The sequence below is a fragment of the Homo sapiens genome, chromosome 3 (assembly GCF_000001405.40).
Source record: "Homo sapiens chromosome 3, GRCh38.p14 Primary Assembly".
Taxonomy (NCBI): Eukaryota; Metazoa; Chordata; class Mammalia; order Primates; family Hominidae; genus Homo; species Homo sapiens.
Genome location: NC_000003.12, coordinates 191780697 through 191808560, shown reverse-complemented (window position 1 = coordinate 191808560; position 27864 = coordinate 191780697). Strand labels below are relative to the sequence as shown.

Below are 27864 nucleotides of genomic sequence, written 5' to 3'. Positions count from 1 at the left end.
CTTAAGGAAGAAGTCTCTCCTGAAGTCACGAGCTGCATTGTCTGGGGTTCGGGTAGCTGTGAAGCAAGCACTCCCTTGGCCACTCCAGCTGGTGTCTCACTAGGTAATGTGCCGCAGAAGACCACTGACCCAAGCCCAGCATAGCACCAGGACTTGTCCAGGAATTACACTCTTTGTGGCCTAGAATACCTTTCTAGTTTATTTAAGACCCAGAGTACTTTAACGCACAGTGGTGAGCTCTGCTGGAACTGAACTTCTGAGTACTGGGATGAATAAATTGCCTCTGGGTAGGGCTGGTCTAAATGCTTCCCCAATGGGGTGAGCTGTGTTCTGTCCCATGTTGCTATTTACTGTGACAGGCAGCACCAATTTCCAGTGCAAAGTTCCACAATTACTGCAGTATCCTTTCTCAAGTTATCAGATTCTTTCTCAGTGCCATGTGGCTGATGCTGTGGGAGCAGGGAGGAGCTATGTCGGCAATTCAATACAGTCTTTCCTATCCTCTTCAGTGCCTCTTTCTTAATACAATGTTAAACCCAGGTAGTGTGATTGCTTGCCAGATTTTTAGTTCTTATAAAGGTGTCCTTTTCTGTCTGGATATTCAGTTAGGTGTTTCTGCAAGAAGGATGACTGCTGGAGGCTTCTCTTTGGCCATCTTGCTCTGCTTTCCCCTCCTACTTTTTTTGTGATAGTAGCCATATTAATGGATGCCAGGTGGTGTCCCATTGAAGTTTTAATTTGCATTTCCCTAAGGATTAGTACTCTTTGCATGTGCTTAGTAGCCATTTGTATACTTTTTTTGGAAAAATGTTTACTCAAGTCTTTTTTCCCACTTTTGAATCAAGTTTTTGTTGTTGCGGTTGTGTACAGTTTTAGTTCTTTATATATTCTATACTTATCAGATATATGGCTTTCAAATACTTCATTCCATTCTGTGTGCTGCCTTTTTACTCTGTTGATAGTATGTTTTTAAAATTATTTTCATCCCTTAAGTTTTTTGTTTTGGTCATTTTTTTACCCCTGATTTTAATGAATTGTTTTTCTGTACTTTTTTTTTTTTTTTTTTTTTTTGAGACTGAGTCTCACTCTATCACCCAGGCTGGAGTGCAGTGGCACGATCTTGGCTCACTGCAACTTCTGCTCCAGTTCAAGCAATTCTCGTGCCAGAGCCTTCTGAGTAGCTGGGATTACAGGCAGGCGTGCCACCATGCCCAGTTAATTTTTGTAGTTTTAGTGTAGATGGCATTTCACCATGTTGGCCAGGGTGGTCTTGAACTCCTGACCTCAAGTGATCCACTTGCCTCAGCCTCCCAAAGTGCGGGGATTACAAGCATGAGCCACCGTGCCTGGCCTCTCTGTACTTTCTTAAAGTTTGATGTGCTTTCTTAAAGCAATCATTTTGAATTCTTTATCAGGCAGTTTGTATATCCCCCTTTCTTTAGCGTCAGGTACTGAAAGATTATTCTTTTTTTTTGGTGATGTCATGTCTCCTTGATTTTTAAATATATCTTGTTGTCTTTTATTGATTGTTGTGCATTTGAGAGATAAGAACTTATTTTTATCTTTGCAAACTGGCTTCATATGGGAAAGACATTCATGAGTCAGTTCACTCCAAATTTCTGGGGAGGCCATCTGGCATAGTTAATGGTGAGCTTACTGCTGGAGTCCTCAGCCTGACTGGCTTAGTATCTGGGTTAGTGGTAGTTGAGTTTGGTGCCTAGGCACTTGAGGTTGAGACTGAATCCTGAATCCACTGAGGTGGACCGATGGATTGGATCTGTCTGGAACAATCTATAGCCTGGGCCCACAGAAGCTGATCTAGCACTAAGGTTGGTGATATTGTTTAGATTTGTATCCCTACGTAAATCTCATGTCAGATTGTCAACAAAAAGAGTCAAACTCTGTAAAATATTTTAAGAGATTTATTCTGAGCCTAATGTGAGTGACCATGGCCTGTGACACAGCCCTCAGGAGGGCCTGGGAACATGTGCCCAAAGTGATCAGGGTACAGCTTGGTTTTATATATTTTAGGGAGGCATGAGGCTTCAATCAAATACATTTAAGAAATACATTGGCTTGATTCAGAAAGGTGGGACAACTCAAAGTGGGGGCTCCCAGGCTATAGGTAAATTTAAACATTTTCTGGTTGACGGTTGGTTGAGCTTATCTGAAGATCTGGGCTCAATGGAAAGGAATGTTCAGGTTAAGATAAAGGACTGTAGAGACCAAGTTTTATTGTGCAGATGAATTTCTAAGAGAGCAGACTTCAGAGAAAGAGCAGGCTGTAAAATGTTTCTTATTGGACCTAAAAGTGTGCCTGGCTCTTAGCTGATTATCTCCTGTATCTGGGAACAAAGGAGAAAGGGGTTTCTCTGTAGGATGTAGATTTTTCTCACAAGAGACTTTGCAGGGCAATTTCAAGGTATGGCAAGGAAATATATTTTAGGGTTAAATACTTTTTCCTTGTCTCATAATATTATGCCAGAGTTAGATTGAAAAGTAAGTCACTATATATAGGGTCAAATAAAATCCATCTGATGAGAATTTATGGTTTGTAGGGCATGACTCTCTAGACCCCTTAGGTAGGAGTTTGGGCAAGATAAAAAATCAGAGCTTAGTCCTCAGATTGTCATTGCCAGTGTTGGAGGATGGCCTGGTGGGAGGTGATTGGATTATCGGGGTGGATTTCCCCCTTGCTGTTATTGTAATAGTGAGTTCTCACGAGCTCTCATTGTTTAAAAGTGTGTAGCACCTCCTCCTTTATTCTTTCTCCTTCTCCTGCCATGTAAGACATGCTTGCTTCCCCTTTGCCTTCTACCATAATTATAAGTTTCCTGAGGCCTCCCTAGCCATGCTTCCTGTACAGCCTGTGGAACCAGGAGTCAATTAAACCTCTTTTTTTAAAAAAATAAATTATTTGGTCTCAGGTAGTTGTTTATATCAATTTAAGACCAGACTAATACAGTGGGCCTGAAACCTGAAACCTGTGTCTGTTGTGGTGGGTCCTGGGTCCGCAAGAGTTGATCCAGAGGCTTATTCTGTGAGTTGGTCTTGGAGCAACATTCCACAGGTCTGACCTATGCCAGGGTCTACTGTGTGGCCCTGGAACCTAGTTCTTCTGCAGCATTTCTGAAACCTGGGTCCTTTAGAGCTTGACACCAGCCTAGTGGTGGTGCTAGCATGGAGTTTGGGTCCCCAGGGACTTGTCTGGAGCATAAAATCATGGCTGCTGGCCTGGTAACTGGAGCTAGTAGATCTGCCCTTGAGCTTGAGGCTGTGGAAACTGGCCTGTAGCCTGTGATCACTGGTGCAATCCTGGATGCTGAGTGTGCAGTTGCTGGCCTAGGGGATAGATCTATGAGGGTTGGCCTGAATAGGGCCAATCTTGAAGTCTGGGTTTGTGGGGACTGGTATAGTACTGGGGCTACTGGAACAGGCTTGGACTTGGGTCTGCTGGAGTGGGATGCAATAGGGGCTGGCCTAGAAGTTGGGGCCACAGAGACTGGCTGCACACTAGGCAGGCCTGGAGTATCTGTCTACAGGTGCCCACCTGGTGTTTGAGACTAGAAATTCTGACCTACAGCTGGTATAGACCTGAAACCTGGGGCTGCAGGGGCTCGATTGTCTCTGGGTTATCCTAAATGTTGTGTCTTCAAGATCTATAAGTTCCAGCTTGATGGCTAGGGCTGTATGAGTTGCACCAGTGCTAAGGAAGTTCTGAAGACTAGGGCCACTGGGGCTGGCCTGGTGCTGAAGTGGGCCTGGAACCTGATTCTTGAGGCTGGCATGGTGCTGTGGTGGTTCTGGCATTTATGGAAACTGGGGCCTGTCTAACACTGGGGTTGGTCTAGGGTCTGAGGGCACTGGTGTCAGCCTGATTTGGGGTCACGTCCAGAGACTAAGTTCAACAGGCATTCCTGGAATTTAAACCTGTTGCTCTGGGCTTCATCCTGGTTCTAGGGATTGTCCACAGCCTGGGGCTGCTCTGGTCTCTTGGATGGTGGGGGCTGTTCTGAGAAAGGGGCCAATGAAGTCAAGCTGGCAGTGGGATGGCCCAGAGAACGAGTCACCAACATAGGCTGAATAATTCAGTTTGTTACTGGGGCAGGCCTGGAGGCTCAGTCTGGAGTCTGGGGCTATGGGTTTTGCTTAGCCCTGGTTTTTACTGTGATCTGCCCTGTTATTCGTCCATGGCAAAATTCAGTGTTTACTTCCCTCTTCTTTCCCCATACAGAGGGTACCTCTCTTTCTGCTATGCTGCCCAGGATTGGGGTAAGGATGATGTAGATAATGTAAAACTATCCTTCCTATACGCTCCATGCCTCTGTTCTTGCTCCTGTGTTACACTCAGGTGCTGTAACCTCTCCTTGGATCTTGTTAGTGTATTTTTGTCCATTTGATTTTCTTTCATTGCCTGTCTCTTTGGTGTTATATTCAACAAATCATTGCCAAATACAATGTTGTAAAACTTTTGGCCTATGCTGTTTTTAAAGAGTTTTATCAGGTCTTACAATTAGGGAATTTTTCTGGTTTAATTTTTACATATGGTGTCAGGTAATGTCACAGCTTCATTCTCTATATGTAGATATCTAATTTTTCCAGCACCCTTTGTTGAAAAGACTGTTCTTTTCTCAATTGAATGATCCAGACATCCTTGCCAAAAATCATTTGACCATACATTCAGGGGTTTATTTCTGGACTCTGTATTATATATGATTGGCCTATATGCCTGTTGTTATGTCCATACCACAGTTTTGATTACTGTAGCTTTGTAGTATATTTTGAAATCAGCAAGTAAGTTCTCCCAGTTTAATCTTCTTTTACAGAATTGTTTTGGCTATTGGGGGTTGCTTCAGATCTCATGTGAATTTTAGAATGAATGTTTCTCTTTCTGCAAAAATAAACAAACAAAATCACTGGGATTTTGATAGAAATTATAGTAAATGTATAGATTTTTATTAACCTCTCAACAATATTAAGTATTGCAATTCATGAACATTGGGTGTTTTTCCATTTATCTGTATCTTTAATTTCTTTCAGAAATTAGTAAGTCTTCTACTTTCTTGATTAAATTAATTCCAAAATATTTTATTTTTTTGGATGCTGCTGTAAATGGAATTATTTTCTTAATTTACTTTTTGAATTATTCATTCATTGTTAATGTATAAATATGTATGTAATTTCTTTGTAATAACTGTATATCCTGTTACATTGTTGAATTCATCTATTAGTTCTAACAGTGTTTTTGGTAGGACTACTAAGGTTATTTACATATAACACTATACGATCTGTGAACAGAGATAACTTTATTTATTCATTCCCAATTTGAAGACATTTTATTTCTTTTTCTTATAGAATTGCTCTGGCCAGGACTTTGATTACTAGGAATAGAAGTAGTAAAAGCAGTAATCCTTGCCTTGTTCTTGATCTTAGAGTATCTTTAGTATTTTGCCCTTGAGTATGATGTTTATTGTGGGCATTTCATACATGGTTTTCATTATGTCAAGGTAATTTTCTTCTATTCCCAGTGTTAGGCGTTTTTATCATGAAAACATGTTAAATTCTATCATACGGGTTTTTTTCTTCATCAATTGAAGAGACCATATGGTTGTTCTTTATTCTGTTAATGTGGTGTATTACATTGCTTGACTGTCACATGCTGAACCATCCTTGCATTCCAGGAATAAATTTGAATTGGTCATGGTTGATAATCCTTTTTATATTCTGCTGAATTTGGTTTGCTAGTATTTTTTTTGAGGATTTTTGCATCTATATTCATCAGGAATATTGGCCTGTAGTTTTATTGTTGTTTTTGTTGGCACTTTATGGTGTCCCGTATGTCAGAAAGGCTATGCTCATTTTTTAAATTCTTTTTTCCTTATTTTTGTCTAACTAGGTTATTTAAAAAAACCTATCTTCACATTCTGCAATTATTTCTTCTGCTTGATGCAGTCTATTATTGAAGCTTTTGAATGCATTTTGTGCTTCATTCAATTAATTCCTCTGTTCCAGAATTGTTTGATTCTTTTTAATGATATTTACCTTCTTGTTACATTTCTCATTCATACCAGACATTTAAAAAATTATTTGCATTGTTTTCAGAATTCTGTTATATCACACTGAGCTTCCTTTGAATCAATAACTTGAATTCTTTTGGGGAGGATTTCATGAATTCTTTTTTTTTATTGGGATCCATTGCTGGAGAATTGTTGTCTTCCTTTTTTGTCATATTCCTTTGCTTTTTCATGTTTCCTGTGCCCTTGCATTCTATGTACACATTTGGTTTAACAGTCACTTCAAAGTTTTTGAATTTGCTTTCACAGGAGAGGACTTTTCCCTGAAGATTTCTCTATAGAATTGATAGAATAGGAAATTTTGGCTCTGATTCTGGGTGTGTGCAGTAGTGTAGCCTCTGCATGATTTCTTTGGCTGTAAACAGTATCAGTAGTGTCTGTGCTTTCCTTAGTGGCTTAGCCTGTAGTTATTAGTGGAACCGGTGGTGAAGTTTTTCTAGGGACTAGGATGCCATGTAAGTCAGTTTTCAGGCCTCAGTGGTGGCAATAGTGGGCTAAGTGTGCCTGTCCTTGGGCCCCAGGTTGCATATGCTGGCACTAGTGTGAGTCCAGGCAGGCTGACCCTTGGGCCTCCAGATGGCTTACTCAGATACCAGTAGTAGGTTCTTGGCGTGGGGAATAGGTTCTTGGGACTCTGGGCACTGGCATGGCAGGAGTGATGACAGTAGCAGTAGCAGGATGACATCATGGATCCTGAGTTGTGTGCACTGATATTGGCAGTGGCTGTGACAGGCTGGGCAGGTCACTCTCTAAGTCCACAGGTAGTGCATGCAGGTAGGTGCCAGCTGTGGCAGTAGAAGTTGGGTGGGTAGGCCTAACTTCATGCCCCTGGAATGAGTGTGCAGGTGCCAATATTGGTTGACTGGGATGGGCAGTCCCCTGGCCCCTAGTCTGTGTATGCTGGCATGGGGTAGGGGTGAACCCAGGCTAGGATGGCTTGTCCTCAAGTCCCCCAATGGTGAATTCAGGAACCAGCCATGGAAGGCAAGTGAATGGTGATCCCTAGCCACTAGAGGAATGATAGGGTTGGGAAATGGAGTGGCCATGCTGCTTTCTTGCCACTACGGAAGGTAATGTCACCTTTAGTGGTGGGCAATCTAAGCTACTGGGTGGGGAATGTTTATGTCACTCATTCCTGAGCCCGGGTGGCACTTGCCCTTGAGTCCATACTGCAGTAGCTGGCACCTTAGCTTTGATGACAGTAACTCACACTTTGGTTGTGCTTTACCCCTAGTGTGGTAGCCTGTGGTTGCTCACAATTAAGCTCTGGAGAAACTGAGCTTCTCTTGTAAGACTGTGTTTAATTCCAATTTTATTGAATATTCCAGTTTTCCTTCTGTTATTATTTTCTAAATTCATCCTGTTGTAGTCAAAGAAGATATTCTGAATGACAGCTATCTTTTAAAATCCACTGAGACACAATTGGTGGCCTAATATAGAGTCTATCTGGAAAATTTGCCTTGTGTCTAATGTGCACTCAAAAAAATGTGCATTCTCTTGCTTGATAGAGTGTTTTTTGTAACGTCTCTTGGTTCTAGTTGGTTTATTGTGTTGTTCAAGTATTCTACTTCTCTTCTTACCTTTTATCTGATTGTTCTGTTCATTATTGAGAGTGAGATATTGAAGTCTCAAACCTTATGGTAGAACTATCTCTTCCTTCAATTTTTTCTAATTTTGTTTCCTATATTTAAATGATCTGATATTAGGTGTGTAAATGTAAATTCTTACATCTCATTGTATTGAAACTTTTGTGAATATAAAGTATCTTTCTTTGTTTTTCCTTTTTTGATATAAAATTTATTTTTCTGATGTCAAATAGAGTCTTCTGTCTTTTGGTTACTATTTGTAAGGAATATACTTCTCCACACTTTTACTTTCAACCTCTGTTTCCTTGGATCTAAAGTAAGTTTCTTGTAGACAGCATATAGTTGGATTAACATTTTTTTATTTATTCTGCTAATCTCAGTCTCTTTATCAGAGAACTTTATCCATTTATAAAGTGATTACTGATAAAAAAAAGACTTCTGTTATTTTGATATTAGCTTTCTATATGTTTTACAATAATTTTGTTCCTTATTTCTTGCATTACTGTCTTCTTTTATGATTAGTTCATTTTTAAAAAACTAGTGAAATATTTACATTTTCTTCCTATTTCTTTTGGTGTTTATTTTTTTTCTTTGTGACTAACAAAGTAATTCCATTTAATATTCTAAAACAACACTCTAATTTAAATTTATAATGCATGAACTTTACTAACACAGCAAACCAGTGCTCCTTTAAAACTGCCTGTATCCCTTTCTTTCCATTAATTTCCTTTTTTTGATATGTGGAACTCAGAATTTTATTGTAAAGTGCTGTATTTATTTTTTTCTTAATTTCAACTTTTATTTCAGATAGCAGAGTACATGTGCAGGTTTGCTACATGGGAATATTAAGTGATGCTAAGGTTTGGGGTGCAAATCCTGTCACCCAAGTCATGAGCATAGTACCCAATAGGTAATTTTAAAATCCACACTCCCCTTTTCCCTTCTCCCTGCTGGTAAATCTTCATGTCTATTTTTTCCCCATATTTATGTCCATGTGTACTCACTGTTTAGCTCCCACTTATAGGTAAGAACACGTGGTATTTTATTTTCTGTTTATGCATTAATTCACTTAGGATCATGTCATCCAACTATATGCATGTTGCTGCAAAGGACGTGATTTCATTCTTTTTATGGATGCATAGCATTTCATGGTGTATATATACCACATTTTCATTAGCCAGTCTACCAGTAATGGGCACGTTGGTTGATTTCATGTAATTGCTATTGTGAATAGCACAGTGATGAACATATAAGTGCATGCATTTTTTTGGTAGAATGATTATTTTCCTTTGGGTATATACCCAGTAATAGGATTGCTGGGTTGAATTATAGTTCTATCACATTCTTTGGGAAATCTCTTGACTGCTTTCCACAGTGATTGAACTAGTTTACATTCCCACCAACAGTGTATAAATTCTCCCTTTTCTCCACAGCCTTGCCAGCGCCTTATGATTTCTGACTTTTGAAGAATAGCTACTCTGACTAAGGTGAGATGGCATCTCATTGTAGTTTTCATTGGCATTTCTCTGATGATTAGTGATGCTGGGCATTTTTTATATATTCATTGGCCACTTGTATGGCTTCTTTTGAGAAGTGTCTATTCATGTCCTTTGCCCATTTTTAATGGGGTTATTTTATTTTTCTTGAATTGTTTAAGTTTCCTAGAGATTCTGGATATTAGGACTGTACTGGATGCATAGCTTGTGAATAGATTCTCCCATTGTGTACATTGTCTGTTTAGTTTATTGATAGTTTCTCTTGATGTGCAGAAGCTCTTAAATTTAATTAGGTTCCACTTGTCAATTTTTGTTTTTGTTGCAATTGCTTTTGGAGACCTAGCCAAAAATTATTTGCTAAGTCCAATGTCAAAAAGGATATTTCTTAGATCATCTTCTAGGATTTTTAAAGTTTGAGGTCTTACATTTAAATCTTTAATCCATCTTGAGTTAATTTTTGCATATGGTAGAGGTTCAGCTTCAGTCTTCAGTATATGGTTAACCAGTTATCTTAGCACCATTTGTTGAATTTGGAGCCCTTTTCCCATTGCTTGTTTTTGTCAGCATTGTTGAAGTTTAGACGGCTTTAAGTATAAGGCTTCATTTCTTAGTTTTCCCTTCAGTTCCTTTGTTTGATTGTTCGGTTTTGCACCAGTATCATGGTGTTTTGGTTGCTATAGCCTTATTGTATAGCTTAAAGTTGGTTAATGTGATACCTCTGGCTTTGCTCTTTTTGCTTAGAATTGCTTTGGCTATTCAAGCTCCGTTTTCCTTCCATATGAATTTTAGAATAGTTTTTCTCTAATTCTGTAAAAAATGACATCAGTAGTTTGATAGAAATATCATTGAATCCATAAATTACTTTAGGCAGTATGGCCATTTTAATAATATTGTTTGTTTCAATCCATGAGCATGGACTGTTTTTCCATTATTTGTTTTTATCTCTGATTTCTTTCAGAAATCTTTTGTAGGCCTTCTTGTAGAGATATTTCACCTCCTTTGTTAGCTGTATTCCAAAGTATTTTGTTTTCTTTGTGGCTATTGTAAGTGGGATCGTGCTGCTGATTTCACTCTCAGCTTGGATATTGTTGGTGTATGGAAATGCTACTGATTTTTGTACATTGATCCTGAAACTTTATGAAAGTCATTTACCAATTGTAGGAGCCTTTTGCCAAAGTCTTTATGGTTTTCTAAGTGCAAAATCATATTGTCAGTGACCAGAGATACTTTGACATCTTCTTTTCCTATCTGGAGGTCTTTTATGTCTTTCTCTTGCCTGATTTCTCTGGCTAGGACTTCTAGTATTATGCTGAATAGGAGTAGTGAGAGTAGGCTTCCTTGTCTTATTCCAGTTCTCAGGGGGAATTATTCAACCTTGTGCCAATTCAGTATGATGTTGGCTGTGGGTTTATGATAGATGGCTATTGTTATTTTGAGATATGTCCCTATGATGCCTAGTCTGTTGAGGTTTTTATCATGAAGGGATTTTAGATTTTATCAGAAACTTTTTCTGTATCTATTGAGATGATTATACGTTTTTTGCTTTTAATTCTGATTATGTAGTGCATCACATTTATTGATTTGCATATCAAGAAATGCAAATGAACTAGCCTAGCATCCCAGGGATAAAGCCTAGTGAACATGATGTATTAGCTTTTTGATGTGTTACTGGATTCGGTTTGCTAATATTTTGTTGAGGACTTTTGCATCTACGTTCACCACGTATATTGACCTGGTTTTCTTTGATCATTATGTCTCCGCCAGGTTTTGGTATCAGGCTGTTGCTTGCTTCATAGAATGAATTAGGCTGGAACCCTTCATCCTTGATTTTTTGGAATAGTTTCAAGTTTCAGTATAACTTATATCAGTTCATCTTTATATGTTATATGGCTCGTAGAATTCAGCTGTGCATCCATCTGGTCCATGACTTTTTTTGGTTGGTATGTTTTTTATTACTGATTCAATTTCAGAAGTTTACATTGGTCTATTCAGGGTTTCAGCCTCTTCCAGATTCAATCTTGTGAGATGGTGTGGTTCCAGGAATTTACTCATCTCCTCTAGGTTATCTAATTTTTGTGCATAAATTGTTCGTAGTACTCTGAGAAACATTTGTATTTTTGTGGGATCAGTTGCAATATCATCTTTGTTGTTTCTGATTATACTTATTTGAATCTTCTCTTTCTTTTTCTTTGTTAATGTAGCTAATGGTCTATCAATCTATTTTTTAAGAAACCAACTTTTGATTTCATTGATCTTTTGTATGGATTTTAGCATATCAATTTCATTAAGCTCTTCTCTAATTTTAGTTATTTCTTTTCTTCTGGTAGCTTTGAGGTGGGTTTATATTTCTTTTGTCCAATTCCTTTGGTTATAGGGTTAGTGGACAATTTGAGATCTTTCTAACTTTTTGATAAGGCCATTTAGGGCTATAAACTTTTAACACTGCTTCACCTGCATCCCAGAGATTTTGGTAAGTTGTGTTTTTATTTTTATTAACTTAAAAGAATGTTTTGATATCTGCCTCAATTTTGATGCTTGCCCATAAGTTATTCAGGAGCTATTTGTTTAATTTTCATGTGTTGTGTAGTTTTGAAAGATTTTCTTTATACTGATTTCTATTTTTATTGCACTGTGGGCCAAGAGTGTGCTGGTATGATCTCAATTTTTTTGAATTTATTGAGACTTGCTTTATGACTGAGCATGTGAGTTCATCTTAAAATATATTCTGTGTGCATGTGAGAGGAATGTGTATTCTATGTTTGTTGAGTGGAGTGTTTTGTAGATGTCCATTAGATCCAACTGGCCAAGTGTAGCATTTAAGTTCAGAGTTTCTTTGTTAGTGTTCTGCCCCTATAATCTTTGTAATGCTGTAAATGCAGTATTGAAGACTCCCATTATTATTCTGTAGTTGTCTAAGTCCTTTGTAGGCCAAGAAGAACTTGTTTTATGAGTCCATATGCTCCAATGCTGAGTGTGTGTATATTTAGGATATTTAAGGCTTCTTGGTGGATTATACTCTTTATCATTATGTAATGACCTTCATTGTCCTCCGTTTTTTTTTTTTTTTTCAAATCGAGTCTCACTCTGGTGCCTAGGCTGGAGTGCAGTGGCAGGATAACTCCAGCCTCAACCTCCCAGGCTCAAGCAATCTTTTCAGCTCAGCCTCCTGAGTAGCTGGGACCACAGGCACATGGACCATGTCTGGTTTTTTTTTTTTTTTAGATGAGGTCTCACTATGTTGTCCAGGCTGGTCTTGAACTCCTGGGCTCAAGCAGTCTTCCAACATCAGCCTTCCAATGTGTTGAGATTACATGTGTGAGCCACCATGCCTGGTCTTTCTTAATTTTTATTTGTTTTAAATCTGTTTTATCTCATGTAAGAATAGTGACCCCTGCTCTTTTTTTGTTTTGTTTTCTGTTTGCATGGTAAATCTTTTCCATTCTTTTGTTTTGGTCTGTGGGTGTCATTACACGTGAGTTAGGTCTCTTGAAGACAGCAGGTTGATGGGTCTTTTCTTTTTATCCAGTTTGCCACTCTGTATCTTTTAAGTGAGGCATTTAGCTCATCTACTTTCAAGGTTAGTATTGATATATGGAATTTTGGTCCTGTCATAATGTTGTTAGCTGGTTGTTATGTAGACTTGATTGTGTAGTTGCATGATAGTGCCTATTTGAAATGTATTCTCTCTGCATTTGCTTTTCTGAGTAAGACTTTATTTCTCCTTCACTTTTTCTTTTGCATTGACCTTGGTGAATCTGATGACTGTGTGCCTTGGGGATGCTCATCTTATATAGTATCTGTCTGGGTTTCTCCATACTTACTGGATTTGCATGTCAACCTCTCTAGGGAGATTAGGAAAATTTTTGTGGACTATATTCAGTTTACATCTTACTCTAATCACTTGCACAGAGGTAGCCTACAACAATTGAAAAAAAAAAAAAAACGCTCTGGAATAAGAGGAGAATCTGACTTCCAGAATTGCCACACTAATAGTTTCAGATGACTAGTTTGCAATAAAAATGTCACAGGGCATATTGCAAAATAGTAAACAATGGCCAATTCAATGGGAAAAAAATCCAGAAAATGTCCCCACAAAACACCTGGCAGCAGATCTACTAGACAAAGATTTAAAACAACTTTCTTAAAGATGCTCAAATACTAAAGGAAAATATGGAGAAATTAAAAAAAAACTGTAAACAAAATGGAAATTTAAATAAGAGAATAAAAATCCTGGAAAGAAACCAAAAGGAATTATGCAACTGAAGTACGCATAAAACAAAATTTATAAATTCACTAAATTTGAATCTGATGACTTAATTTTTTATCAGTTTATTTTATCTCACTAATATTTAATGGAACCACCTTTATGTAAAAATGTCATGTATATATATATATATATATGTGTGTGTGTGTGTGCCTTTACTTCAGTTTTTCTGTTCTATACCATTGCACTGTTTATCTCTGTAATATTACAACATGGTCTCAAGTATGATAGCCTGTCAATTACTTTAGATATTGAGTAGAGAAAGTACTCCCTACCTTTTCTTCTTCAAAATTGTCTTAGCTATTTTAAAATTTTTTCCACAATCAGCTTATTAAGTTTTACAAAAATCTTGCCATAATTCGTATTGAAATTTGATTGCATGTCTAGATTCATTTAGGGAAAATGGCTCCTTTAGGAAATGGAATCTTCAAATGCAAAATATGTGATCTTTATTGTTTATCTCTTTAATACTCTGACTTTTTATGTCATTTAATAATGTTTTGTAATATTCTCCAAATCTGATTGCAGCTCTTTAGAAATATTTTCTAAGATATTTATAAATTTAATTGCTATTTTTAATGGCATATATATTCTATTTCTAAATAATTATTACTAGTATATATATATAAACGTTATTAGTTTTGGTACATTGATTATTATTCTAGAAACTCTCTTAACTTTCCTTTTAGTTCTAATAACTAGTAGATAATTGATAAGGTTCAATATGAAAATTGTATCATAACCAGTTTTGCCTTTCTTGCCTAACTTTATACCTTTTAATTCTTTTTTTCTATTTTACTATTATGGTTAGAATCTCCTGTGCAATGCTGAATGGAATTAGTAACAGCAGTTTATTACCTAGTTTCTAATTTGAAAAGAGTTTTTGCCATAGATTTTAATATCTATATTAATTGTGAGGTCTGACTTCCATTTTTAGAATTTTTATTACACAGAAGTATTAAGTTTAATGGACTGCTTTCCTATGTACACTGATATGATCACAAACTGTTTTCCTATTTTCTGATATTGAATTTTTCTTACATACCTAGAATAAAAGCATATTGGTTATATTTGTACACAAAGATAAAATTGTTTGCTAAGTAATGTTGAATCTTTTATAATTACTATCATAAGGGACATTTATCTATAATTTTATTTCCTTGCATAGTCTTAGTTAAGTTATGCCATCTGACTCATACCAGCTGAATATTGTTTTACACATTTAACTTATATTAAGAAAGGGCCTTCCTTGGCTTGTCTTCCTAATGAATTGGAGCTGATGTTATGTGAATTCATAATTTAATCAAATTTTCAAAATTACTATCATATAATTTTTCATGGTGTTTTTTATTTAAGTGGGAACAAACACTTCTCTTTCTGTTGCTTAGCCTATTTTTTAATTGGTAATATGTTTTCTTATCTGTGCATTTTTTTCTTTACTTATTATATCCTCTTAAATATTTGCCTGTTTCTGCTCTTTTTAAATAAATAGGTACTGAATATATCAATTCTTCTGTGGCTTCGTCATTTTCTCTTACTTGTGCTTTTATTTCTGGTTTTAATGTTTATTGTGAAAATACTGTTGTAACATTTTTAGTTGATTATTAAACTTATTTACATAAAAGTAAGTATCCTCTTTTCTTAGCAATTATAGTAAATACTACAAATTATGCTCTAGATATATATATTTAGCTGATTTCTCCAATACTGATATGCAATGCTTTTATTGGCATTTTTACTGGAAAGACCAACCTCTACCAAGGCTGGAAATTATATGATATTACATTAAAAAAATATTCTTTGCCTTGTTTTGGATTGCCAAAGGCCCTATCTTGTTATTATAGCTTCAGGATGTGACATATCCTACAAAGAGAACTGTAAAGAAAAAAACCTACATTTCACACCTACATTATACAATTTGGGTTGTAAACAATCTCAAGAGTAACCACTAAATTTACTTTTTTTAAATGACAAATTTAATAAATCATATTTGTCTTTTGACCTGATTAATTGCATATTTATGTATTACAGCAAAGAGTAATAATAATTATAATGCAATATTATCATAGTGTCTACTATTTCCCAGATACCCTTCTAGACACCATATATGTGCATATGTTTGTGTGTGGGTGTGGTTATAAGAGATTATGTGTGTGTGTGTGTGCCTGTCCGTGTTTGTATCCCTCACTAGAATTCTGTGGAGTAGATGCAACTATTTTCCCCATTTTAATCATAGGGAATCTGAAACACAGAGATGTTACAGTACTTTCACCAAGGTCACACTGTTTGTAAGAGGAGATAAAAACCAAACACGGGAAGTCTTGCTCTTAGTCACTACACTGTATTATTTCCATGTATAGACTGTGGCACAGCAAGGCTGTTGGAAAGGAGCTTATTCATTTATTAATGAGTCATCCTGTATAGCTTCAACAAATTTTAAAAATTGACCTGATGGTTTTTGTTTTTCTTACCTGAGAATCTCATCACTTTTGCATCCTTTCCTTTGCCCCCAACTCTGATTTTATTATCTGTGGCAGACATTATTAGTTACCTACTAATTACCCATTATTTCTTTTTATTTGCAAAAGAGAATACTAACTTTGATGGGGAAGCAATCTCAATTAGGAACTATATTTCTCAAGTCTTTTTGTAGGTCAGTCACTCTTTTGGCCAATCAGTTATGAGTAGATGTTGCTGACGGAAGCCTTCCTCATGGAAGTAATCAGTTTCCCTCTTATTCCTGACTGGAACCATAACATAATGCTGGAGTTAGAAGAGCCATCCAATAGCCATGAAACAACAAGCCCATGAACAAGGTGACAGAGAAGAATGAGAGAAGCAGTGCGGGATGCTGTTGTGATTGTGGACTCATCACATGACCCTTGGGGAGTCTATTTCTGGATTTTGATTACTTAGAAATATAAACAAGCCTAATTTCTTTACACAATAGGGTTTACATTTCTGCAGTTTGTAATTGATATGGTTTATCTGTGTCCCTACCGAAATCTCATCTTGAATTGTAGGTCCCATAATCCCCATGTGGTGTGAAAGGACCTGGTGGGAGGTAACTGAATCATGGTGGTAGGTTTTTCCCATGCTGTACTCTTGATAATGAATAAGTCTCATGAGATCTGATGGTTTTAAAAAGGGCAGTTTCCTTGCACACATTGTCTTGTCTGCCACCATGTTAGGCATGCCTTTGCTCCTCTGCCTTCTGCCATGATTGTGAGGCCTCCCTAGCCATGTGGAACTGTGAGTCAATTAAACATTTTCCTTTATAAATCACCCTGTCTCTGGTATGTTTTTATTAGCAGTGTGAGAACAGATTAATATAGTAAATTGTACTGGTAGAATTGGGTGCTGCTGTAAAAATACCCCAAAATGTGGAAGCGACTTTGAACTGGGCAATAGACAGTGGTTAGAATAGTCTGGAGGGCTCAGAAAAAGACAGAAAAATGTGAGAAGGTTTGGATCTTCATGGAGACTTGGGGGGCTCAGAAGACAGGTAGCTGTGGGAAAGTTTTGAACTTCCTGGAGACTTGTTGAATGGCTTTAACCAAAGTGCTGATAGTGATATGAACAATGAAGTCCAGGCTAAGGTGGTCTCAGATGAAGATAAAGAACTTGTTGGAAACTGGAGTAAAGGTCACCCTTGCCATGCAAAGAGACTGGCAGCTTTTTGCCCCTACCCTAGAGGTCTGTGGAACTTTGAACTTAAAAGAGATAATTTAGGGTATCTGGCAGAAGAAATTTCTAAGCAGCAAAGTGTTCAAGAGGAAACAGAGAATAAAATTCTGGAAAATTTGCAGCCTGATGACACAATAGAAAAGAAAAACCCATTTTCTGGGGAGAAATTCAAGCCTGCTGCGGAAATATGAATAAATAACAAAGATCAAAATGTTAGTCACCAAGACAATGAGAAAAATGTCTACAGGGCATGTCAGAGACCTTCATGGCAGCCCCTCCCATCACAGGCCTGGAGGCTTAGGAGGGAAAAATGGTTTCTGGGTCCAGGCCCAGACCTCCCTGTTCTATGCAGCATCAGGACATAGTGCCCTGCATCCCAGCTGCTTCAGATCTAGCCATGGCTAAAAGAGGCCAATGTATAGCTCAGGCTGTTGCTTCAGAGGGTGCAAGCCCCAAGTCTTGGCAACATACATGTGGTGTTGGGCCTGTGGGTGCACAGAAGTCAAAAATTGATGTTTGGGAACCTCCACCTAGATTTCAGAGGATGCATGGAAATGCCTAGATGCCCAGGCAGAAGTCTGCTGCAGGGGCAGAGCCCTCATGGAGAACCTCTGCTAGGGCAGTGCAGAAGGGAAATGTGGGGTTGAAGCCCCCACAGAGTCCCCAAGGGGGCAATGCCTAGTGGATCTTTGAGAAGAGGGGCACTGTCCTCCAGACCCCAGAATGGTAGATCTACCGACAGCTTGCACCATGCTCCTGGAAAAGCCACAGACACTCAATGCCAGGCCATGAAAGCAGCCAGGAGGGAGGCTGTATCCTGCAAAGCCACAGTAGCAGAGCTTCCCAAAACCATGGGAACCCACCTCTTCAATCAGCATGACCTGGATATGAGACATGGAGTCACAGGAGATCATTTTGAGGCTTTAAGGTTTGACTGCCCTTCTGGATTTTGGACTTGCACAGGGCCATTAACTATTTTGTTTTGGCAAATTTCTTCCATCTTTAATAGGTGTATTTATCCAATATCTCTACCCACATTGTATCTAGGAAGTAACTAACTTGCTTTTGGTTTTACAGTCCCATAGGTAGAAGGGACTTGTCTTGTCTCAGATGAAAGTTTGGACTGGACTTTTGAGTTAATGCTGAAATGAGTTAAGAATTTTGGGGGACTGTTGTGAAAGTATGGTTTTGAAATGTGAGAACATGATATTTGGGGGGGCCAGGGGCAGAATGATATGGTTTGGCTATGTGTCCCAATCCAAATCTCATCTTGAACATAGTTCCTGCAATCCCCACATGTTGTGGGAAAGACCCAGTTGGAGGCAACTGAATCATGAGGTGGGGTTTTCCCATTCTGTTCTTATGATAGTGAATAAGTCTCACAATATGTGATGGTTTTATAAAGGGCAGTTACCCTGCACATGCTCTCTTGCCTGCTGCCATGTAAAATGCACCTTTGCTCCTCCTTCACCTTCTGCCACGATTGTGAGGCCTCCCCAGCCATGTGAAACTGTGAGTCCATTAAACATCTTTCCTTTATAAACTACCTAGTCTTGGGTATGTCTTTATTAGCAGCACGAGAATGGATTAATACAGTAACTAAATACATTTTATACCTGTTAGAACATTATAACTCTTTTTCTGTTGAAATTATTCATTAAAGCACAAGAAAGAGAAAATTAATTTTAAAATATTGTAGCTTTATTTTCTTTTTCTATTAAGATAATTTTATTCAGTGACTCTATTGGGATGTGTGGCACTTTGATATAGAAAATGTTCTTACATGTTCTCCCCAAAATTATTAAACTTACAGCATTTGTTTTACTATACAATAGTTCTTTCAACTATTCTTAGAACCCCACCTCATTCCTGAGCTTAATGCAATCCAAAGGTAAGGACTGTGAGTGTGGCAAATAACAAGAATTGGAAAAGAGATGGGGAAGATGAAAACTGTGAGAGTTTCCAAGGATGGATAAGAGTTAAGAACATCTGTTGTACACATTGAGAAAGATAATTTTGAAATAGTTTCTTATTTTACTTAACTTCTTTTAAATAGCCTAAGGAAGAGGCATTGTAAATTAAGTAATATCAAAATGTTCTATTTCATCAAAATATACAGTCTATTTGGGAGACGTAATTATACCTGTGCCTTGTAACTATTTGGTCTTCACAACTTTTACATCGATTATGGATTAGGAGGAAAAAAGAACAAAATGTTAAATTAATATCTTCCTTAAAAAAATAATATAAGGAAACTAGCTCCTGAGGGAACAGAATCTACTGAACATTGGTTGGGTGTACAGTGATCAATTCATTTACAATGTCTAATATACCCAAAGTCCTAAGATAAACTGTCCTGCCCATACATCCCTTCTGTGAGCATTGGTCTTAGTACCTGGAGAAGGACTGGCCATATTCTGCATCATATGACTCACTGCCTCTACTGATTAGAATTCACTGGGTAAGGCCAGGCATTTCACTTAATGTACACCAATGTTTAGTCTGGCCTGTGGGTTGTGAGATATCCTTGTGGCCAAAGCTAAAGAAAGACCAAACATAATGATTTGAGAGTTCTTCCTAAAGTCTCCATTAGGGAAACTGTGAACTTGAAAATAAATGAACAAGTAATTAGGTACAAGGAAGAGAAGCTATAAGAAAGATACTATAGAGATACATGGACAGAGTCAAAGAATGCTGCTAAGAGATATTAAGAGAAAAAAGAATAAAAGAGCTCTTGCTATTAAATAGGCAGTAAGTTCCCAGAGCCATGTGATAGACTGAATTATTGTTCAGTGTATATTCCACCCTGTCACTCAACCCTTTAGAAATATACTTCCCTTCCCTAATTTGTGAAATTGGCCACTGACTTTCTTCAGCTAATGAAATGGGAATAGACATGATGTGTGTGGCTCCACTTGTCCTCTTGTGATAGTAAGATCTACCATGAGAAGAGTATGTTTTAGAAAACTCATAAAGCCAAAGGGAACTCAGTATGCAAGAAGCTCAGCCATAATCAGTTACAGCTGAACAGTCCCACAGAACTGTGAACAAGTAGAGTAAATATTTGGGGTGGTAAGGCCCTGAGATACTGAAGTTGTTATACACAGACAAAAAATGTTCAATAAAAGCTCATTATATACTTCCACTTTCCAAATATCATTTCAGTTTTCAAAAGGCCTAGTTATATGGATATTCCTGCATCCTTGAGGGTTTTTATTCACATTGTCATCATACTGTCACATTATATGCTCTGTTTGTGGTACTACAGGTAGTTTCCCTGCTTGAAACCAAAAGAGACCAATGCAAGGTCTAAGAAACCCCAGTTAAAGGCAAGTTAACAGAAAACGTATTTAATTATCCTTTTAAAAAACTTACAAATACTATAGGAGGTATGTACAGGAAAAAAAAACACCTCTAAACAAATAAGATTAACCATTAATAAACACCAAATAAGTTCATCCTGGTTTTATAAAAGCACACTAACACTCTTAAATTTAAAAAGTAAATGAAATGAAAAAATATGGCAAATTGATTAAAATTAGAGTTGAAACTAATAGAAAATAATTTTGAATACAGATTTATAAAAGCTTCTATGTGGTTGCTAATTCAGAGGAGAATAAAGTAATTAAGCTACAAAGCTTATTAATCTTTTGCAAAAACCAATCTGATCAACACGTTGTTCATCATTATTTTTTTTTTTTTTTTTTTTTTTTTGAGACGGAGTCTCGCTCTGTCGCCCAGGCTGGAGTGCAGTGGCGGGATCTCGGCTCACTGCAAGCTCCACCTCCCGGGTTCACGCCATTCTCCTGCCTCAGCCTCCCAAGTAGCTGGGACTACAGGCGCCCGCCACTACGCCCGGCTAATTTTTTGTATTTTTAGTAGAGACGGGGTTTCACCGTTTTTTAGCCGGGATGGTCTCGATCTCCTGACCTCGTGATCCGCCCGCCTCGGCCTCCCAAAGTGCTGGGATTACAGGCGTGAGCCACCGCGCCCGGCCTGTTCATCATTATTTTTAATTGTCAGATGTCTTTTGTGTGCCTTTGAAGACTATTTTCCAGTTATTTTAGTGAGGATTCTCACTGGCACTCTCATTAATTTTGTTAAATCCTATCTTATTATATTACTTAAAAATTTTTATTTGTTGCTCAAATATTTGTCTGCTGTACAAGTTAATATCTTTAAGAGTTATGTCTTTATTAAATATCTATTACAAAAAGCTGAGTTTAATGTTGCCTTTAAAAATATTTCCTATTTATCATTGGAAACATATCAAATATTTATTGTAGAATTTTTTAAATATTTGAATGACTAACTAATATTAACTTCCTTATTTTAGAGATGAGTAAAAGGAAATCCAAAGTGGAGGTCTCAGTTTCATTGGTGTGTTTGTTGCCTACATTCACATATGTTTAATGGCAAACCAAGTCTAGACAGAAGGCTTTCTCAAGGTAAAGTTGTCCATCTTTACACTTGCTTTTAGTTATTAGGCAACTTTGTATAGTGGGTAAAAAGTTTTCACAATTTCCTATTTTTTTGGCGGACAAGGAGGTGGTGATGATTTATTTATTTATTTTTCCTCTTTATTCATTTAAGAAAAATATTTCAAGAAACAATTGTTTAAGTAAATAATCTTGAATATAATTTAAAGCTGAATTCTGATTTCCAGGATGTCTTTGCCAATGTAATATCAGGAAAGAAAATATTTATATCTAGAAAAATAAAATGGAATATGCATGAAGCTGTCAATAATGTCTTCATAGGTAGTATACTAAAAAGACATGACTGTTCAAAAAAATCTGTTGCTTAACAAATTAGATGTGGTTTTTTTTTTGCAAACCATAAAAACTGGCTGGCTAAGTTAAGCAGTAAAAAAGTTATTGTAAGCATAAGTGTTCACAGAATCAAAGGGAAGTCTAGAAATTCTAATTTAGAAATTATTATAGTTCTTAAAGACAGAAGTAGCAGGAACTTATAAACCATCTCATCAGGATATTACATGCAGAATAAATGAGGTTTAGCCATTTTTATTTTCTTATGTCATTCTGCTGACAATAACAAACTCCAGAGATGTGTTAATTTACTTAATTGGTTAATTGGATAATGTGGTCAACTCTTGGCTAGGAAAGAGCAGGCCAACTTAATTAACTGCCTTCCAAGTTTGCACCCAATAGGAGATAATGACCTTTCCCCAATCCCCAAAAAATTTTGGTGCTATTATTCAAAAAAGAGAAATGGATACTGGGCAGACAAAATTTAACAAATAATCAGTCTAATCATTCCTGTTACACCAAATCTACATAGATCTTTTGTCCAATGAATATAGGATCCTCCAAATAATCCCTGTCTAACAAAATACAACTGCCATGTCTACCTGTAAACTCCTTCAAGCTTTCTTCAAGAGAAAACAAGCAGTTTCATGACTTATTTTTGCTTAATGTTCTGGATCTCCTATAGATGTTTACTCTTCCCCTTGTTTCATCAGAATGCCAACTCTTACTCTAAAACTATAGGGAGCCTATTGCTTATTTGTTCATATATATATATTAGGGATAAAAAAATTGAGAAATCATTAAAACTAGGCAAATACATTTGAATAGGTAAAGAAGGAAATCGGTAAAGTTCTTTCAATAACTAATCCTAAGGATAGAACTGGTATTTATTTTTCCACAGCCTCTTTTCCACAATGTCTTCCATGATCCCTTCCCCTAGTCAGGGTAATTTGTCTCCACTCTGATGCACCAAATCTTCTTTTCTGAGGAATCTGGTTGTTTGATGATCACACAAATAAATATGTAGCAGTTTCTATTAAACTTTACCCTCTAGAATGGTATAAAAAAGAGTAGTCTTAAAGATTAGATAGGTTTCATCCATACTCTTCTTTGCCCTCATTTCATATCTGCAAACCTTTCTCTTTATAATCATCAGAGTCAATCATTCCAGCCAAAATAAATATATAGTCCCTTTCTGTGTCTGATATGATTTGGCTGTGTCCTGACCCAAATCTCATCTTGAATTGTAGCTCCCACAATTCTCACATGTTGTGGGAGGGACCAAGTAGGAGATAATTGAATCATGGGGTGGGTCTCTCTCATGCTGTTCTTGTGATAGTAAGTCTCATGAGATCTGATGGTTTTATAAAGAGGAGTTCCCCTGAACAAGCTCCTTCTCTTTGCTTGCTGCCATCCATGTAAGACATGACTTGTTCCTCCATGCCTTGTGCAATGATTGTGAGGGCTCCCCAGCCATATGGAACTGTGAGTCCATTAAACCTCTTTCTTTTATAAATTACCCAGTCTCAGGTATGTCTTTATTAGCAACATGATAACAGACTAATACAGTAAATTGGTACCAGTAGAGTGGGATGCTGCAGTAAAGATACCTGAAAATGTGGAAGTGACTTTAGAACTGGGTAATAGGCAGAGGTTGGAACAGTTTGTAGGGCTTAGAAGAAGACAGGAAGATGTGGGAAAGTTTGGAACTTCCTAGAGACTTGTTGAATGGCTTTGACCAAAATGTGGACAATTAAATCCAGGTTAAGGTGGTCTCAGATGGAGATGAGAAACTTGTTGGGAACTGGAGTAAAGGTGGCTCTTGCTATGTTTTAGCAAAGAGACCAGCAGCATTTCGCCCCTGCCCTAGACATTTCTGAAACTTTGAACTTGAGGGAGATGGTTTAGGGTATGTAGTGGAAATAATTTCTAAGCAGCAAAGCATTCAAGATGTGACGTGGGTGCTGTTAAAAGCATTCAGTTTTAAAAAAGAAACAGAGCATAAAAGTTGAAAAATTTGCAGCCTGATTATGCAATAAAAAAGACAAACCCATTTTCTAAGGAGAAATTCAAGTCAGCTGCAGAAATTTGCAAAAGTAACAAGGAGCCAAATGGTTATCACCAAGATAATAGGGAAAATGTCTCCAGAGCATGTCAGAGACTTTCAGAGCAGCCCTTCCCATCACAGGCCTAGAGGCCTAGAAGGAAAAAAATGGTTTCATGGGCCAGGCCCAGGGCCTCTCTACTCTATTCAGCCTAGGGACTTGGTGCCCTGCATCCCAGCCACTCCAGCCATGGCTAAAAGGGGCCAAGCCCAAGCTGTTGCTTCAGTGGGGGCAAACCTTGGTAGCTTCCACATGGTGTTGAGCCTGTGGGTGCACAGAAATCAAGAATTGAGTTTTGGGAACCTCCAGCTAGATTTCAGAGGATGTATGGAAATGCCTGAATGCCCAGGCAGAAGTTTGCTGCAGCAGTGGGGGCCCTTGTGGAGAACCTCTGCTAGGGCAGTGCAGAAGAAAAATGTGGGGTCAGAGCTTCAATTTTGCATAGAAGAAAGAGTTCACGGATAGAAAGTTTGATCTGCAAAGGAAATAAAATGCAAGGAAAATGGTAAGCATGTGTGAACATAAAAACCAGGAATGAATGTGTAAAGTAATAACACTAATACTAATGATACTAACAACAACAACAACAACAACAACAACAACCTCTTGGGGTTTTAGAAAAGATAAAACTAAAACAGATGATAATAATAGCACTTAAGTCAGTAAAGCTACAGTTCAAGTTAAACTCCTCTAATATCTTTGTATTTTGGGAGAAAAAGGTAAAGACAATAGTTAATTGTATAATTTAAGTATACAGATTAAAACATGTGACATAATTTTCTAAAGAAATTGGAATACAGTGTGAAATTTATCAGTATTAGACAAAAGTGGAATAGTAAAATTATTTAATTTACACAAAAAGAGAAATGAAGAGAGAAAAGGATTATGTGAATTGCAGGGATAGAAAATAAAGCCAATAAGATAGACTATAGACCACAAAAAGATCCCAAACACATGTATAACCTTAATTTATGTCAGAGACAACATTCCTGGTCAGTAGAAACAAGATGGATATTTCAGTAAATGATGCTGACATGCTTATTTATATATATATTTGGAAACGAAAAATAAAATTGGAACCCTAGTATTACACAATATGTAAAAGTCAATACCTGATAAATTACAAACTTAAATGTGAATAGCAAAAGAATAAAATTTATAGATGATAAATATTTCTATGAACTCATTGTGGGAATGGATCTACTTGTAATAATTAACAAATTATACCATAAAATTTATACTTTCCTTCATTTATTTCATGATATGATCTTCAGGGTTTCAGATACTGAACCTGAGTATTAGTGAGCTTATGACTCAGAGTCCACAAATGATTACTTACATAATAGCTATTTTGCCATTACATACTATAGAGTGGTAGATTTCTACTGTGAAATAGGAAAAAGAGATATTGCCTCATACAATATTTGATCTGGAATACCATTTCCAAGCACTTTACATTTCCCAGAGTCTACTACTTGCACCTCACCCTTTATTGACATTTTCTTTATTATTATATCTTTTCTTCTCAGCAACATAAATTCTGACTAACTTAAACACCATAGTCAATGAGGCTTAAACACAAACTTAAGCCTCAGAAAGAGACAGAATCACAGCTCATCCAAGAGTCTAAATAGCAAAAACAGTCTTATATGATCCCATAACCAGAATAATCTCTAACATCTTTTTCTTGTTGACACTTAAAAGTTTATAGACTTAATCACTTTTCTTTTTCTTTAAATTTCAAATTTTATTATAGATTCAGGTTTACATGTGAAGCCTTGTTATATGGGTATATTGAGAGATGCTGAGGTTTCGGGTACAACCGATCCTGTCACCAAGGTAGTGAGCATAGTACTCAACAGGTACTTTTCAGCCCTTATCCCACTCCCTCCCTCGCCACTCAAGTTGTCCCCAGCATCCATTGTTCCCATCTTGATGTCTATGTGTACCCAATGTTTAGATCCCATTTATAAGTGAGAACATGCAGTATTCAGTTTCCTGTTTTCGTGAATAACAACTTGTTACCTTGCATTCCTCTATTCAACACCCACACTTCTAAGGAGAAATACATCACCAATAAGTTAGACTGCTCTTTCTAAAGGAAAAAGTGCAATAGGGAAAAACAAAAATAATAAAAATATATGTCTTTTCAGTTCTAGTATTTTTTTAAGGTTTCACAGTACCTGCTATTATAATGAAATACCTTGACTGTGCATACACAGTTAATTCTCATTATTCATAGTAGTTACAATCTATAAAGTTACCCTGGTCATTGAATTAGCATTTATTGAACCACTGCTCCTAGGAGAAGTACAGGGTTAGGTTCTTGTGCACAATATTTTTGTTAATTGATCAATAAATAACCTTCTTTTATGTGTGTAACTGTTTAAAGACATCTCATTTAATATATATTGTTGATTTAGTAACATTTTTCTCATGTGCAACAGCACTGTAACTCATGCTTGAATGAAGATTATTTAACATGTATTTTCTCCATCAGGTACAACACATCCCTCTTGTGTTTAGAAACACTAGTCAGTAAGTACACTTGAGGGTCATTTTAAACAGCAAAATAACCAAAAACACAAAATCTCAAAAAACATGTCACTAAGTAGAACATGAGAAGGACACTTGTCTATAGTCGGAGTGTCAAAACAAGAATGCGGAATATTGGATTGTTAGATCAAAGTTGGGTACGTGCACATTAAATAACTCAAAATTTTGGCTGCTGTGTAGATGTCCATGAAAGACCATGAAAATATCATAAGTATTTATTTGGGAGTTACAAATAAATTTTAGCAAGTAGATGGATTCACAAATACAGAATCTGTAAATAATGAAGATCAACTGTACATGGTTCTCAATCCTCGGATGGAATGTCTACATAATGTCACATTAACTGTGAAGTCTGGCTCCCAGCTACAAATCTTGTGATTTTTCAGTCCCAACTGTACACAGTTACAAATGCTTTACTTCAGCCACCTCAGGGGGCAAAACCTGTCCTCTGCACACCAAACGGTGTACAGACAATCCTTGGCAGTCTCTGAAGGGAGTTGCAGTCAAGGACTTAGGCCCCCCAGTTAGTCATTTTCATCACATGTTTACATTTCTAGCCCTGGCACCTTCATTCCTGCATCTCTTTACCTGAAGACTTTAGCAGAGGTCTTTTTTAAGTGCCTCTGCTGAGGATTCCTTATGAGAGGAGGAAAGGAGGAAAGAGAAACCTTGAGGACACCTTTCCCCACTCTGACTGAGTACTCAGTACTTTTCACGCTAGCCCTTCCCCCTTGTCCTTCCTAGACACGAGTGCCCATAAATCTGCTAGATCTTTTGTTTGGGGTTCCTTCAACAGTGAGACTGCTTCCACATCTGTGCTGATTTACCTGACCTTCAATCAGTGTGCCTGTCCCTGGAGGATAATGAAACCAGAGTGAGTTGGTGCTTTCTCTGGGTTTTGAACTCTTACTTATAAAATCGCAATTACTGATTAAAGCTTAATTATTACTTTAATTTTGGCTCGTTTCTTTAATTAGCTACTCCAATACACAGCAGCTCAGCTCTCTCTTTAGCTCAGTTGATCTCCTGAAATGAACTTGTATGAAACTTGCCATATTTCATAAAAGGTTTTAGAAATTCTTTGGTGTATCCCTTTCAAAATTTACAGATGAGGAAAGAAAGCCCAGCCTAATTTGTATACTAGAAAACTAAAGCTTGAGATCTGGCCTGCCCCAAACTGAAATCTAGGTTTTCAGATTCTAAGTCCCAAGCTTTTTGAACTCTATAGAACAGAATTTTCATTTTAACCTGATTATTTTCTCAGTAGTGATATGTCTCAATTTTCTCAAAAATCCTCAAGCCGTGTAGGGCCTTACCTTTTTGTAAT

The 27864-nt window shown here is 37.1% G+C and overlaps 1 long non-coding RNA gene across 2 annotated transcripts; it reads left to right on the top strand.

Moving 5' to 3' along the window:
• LOC105374276 (uncharacterized) lies at window positions 1–27491 on the top strand. 2 transcript variants are annotated; one of them, XR_924826.2, is made up of 4 exons: window positions 1–103; window positions 21444–21555; window positions 25738–25820; window positions 27334–27491. It is a non-coding gene; the product is annotated as an uncharacterized LOC105374276 (long non-coding RNA). The 2 variants fall into 2 exon arrangements; XR_924825.2 differs by having other exon boundaries at window positions 25738–25843.
• The last annotated feature ends 373 nt before the right edge of the window (window positions 27492–27864 follow it).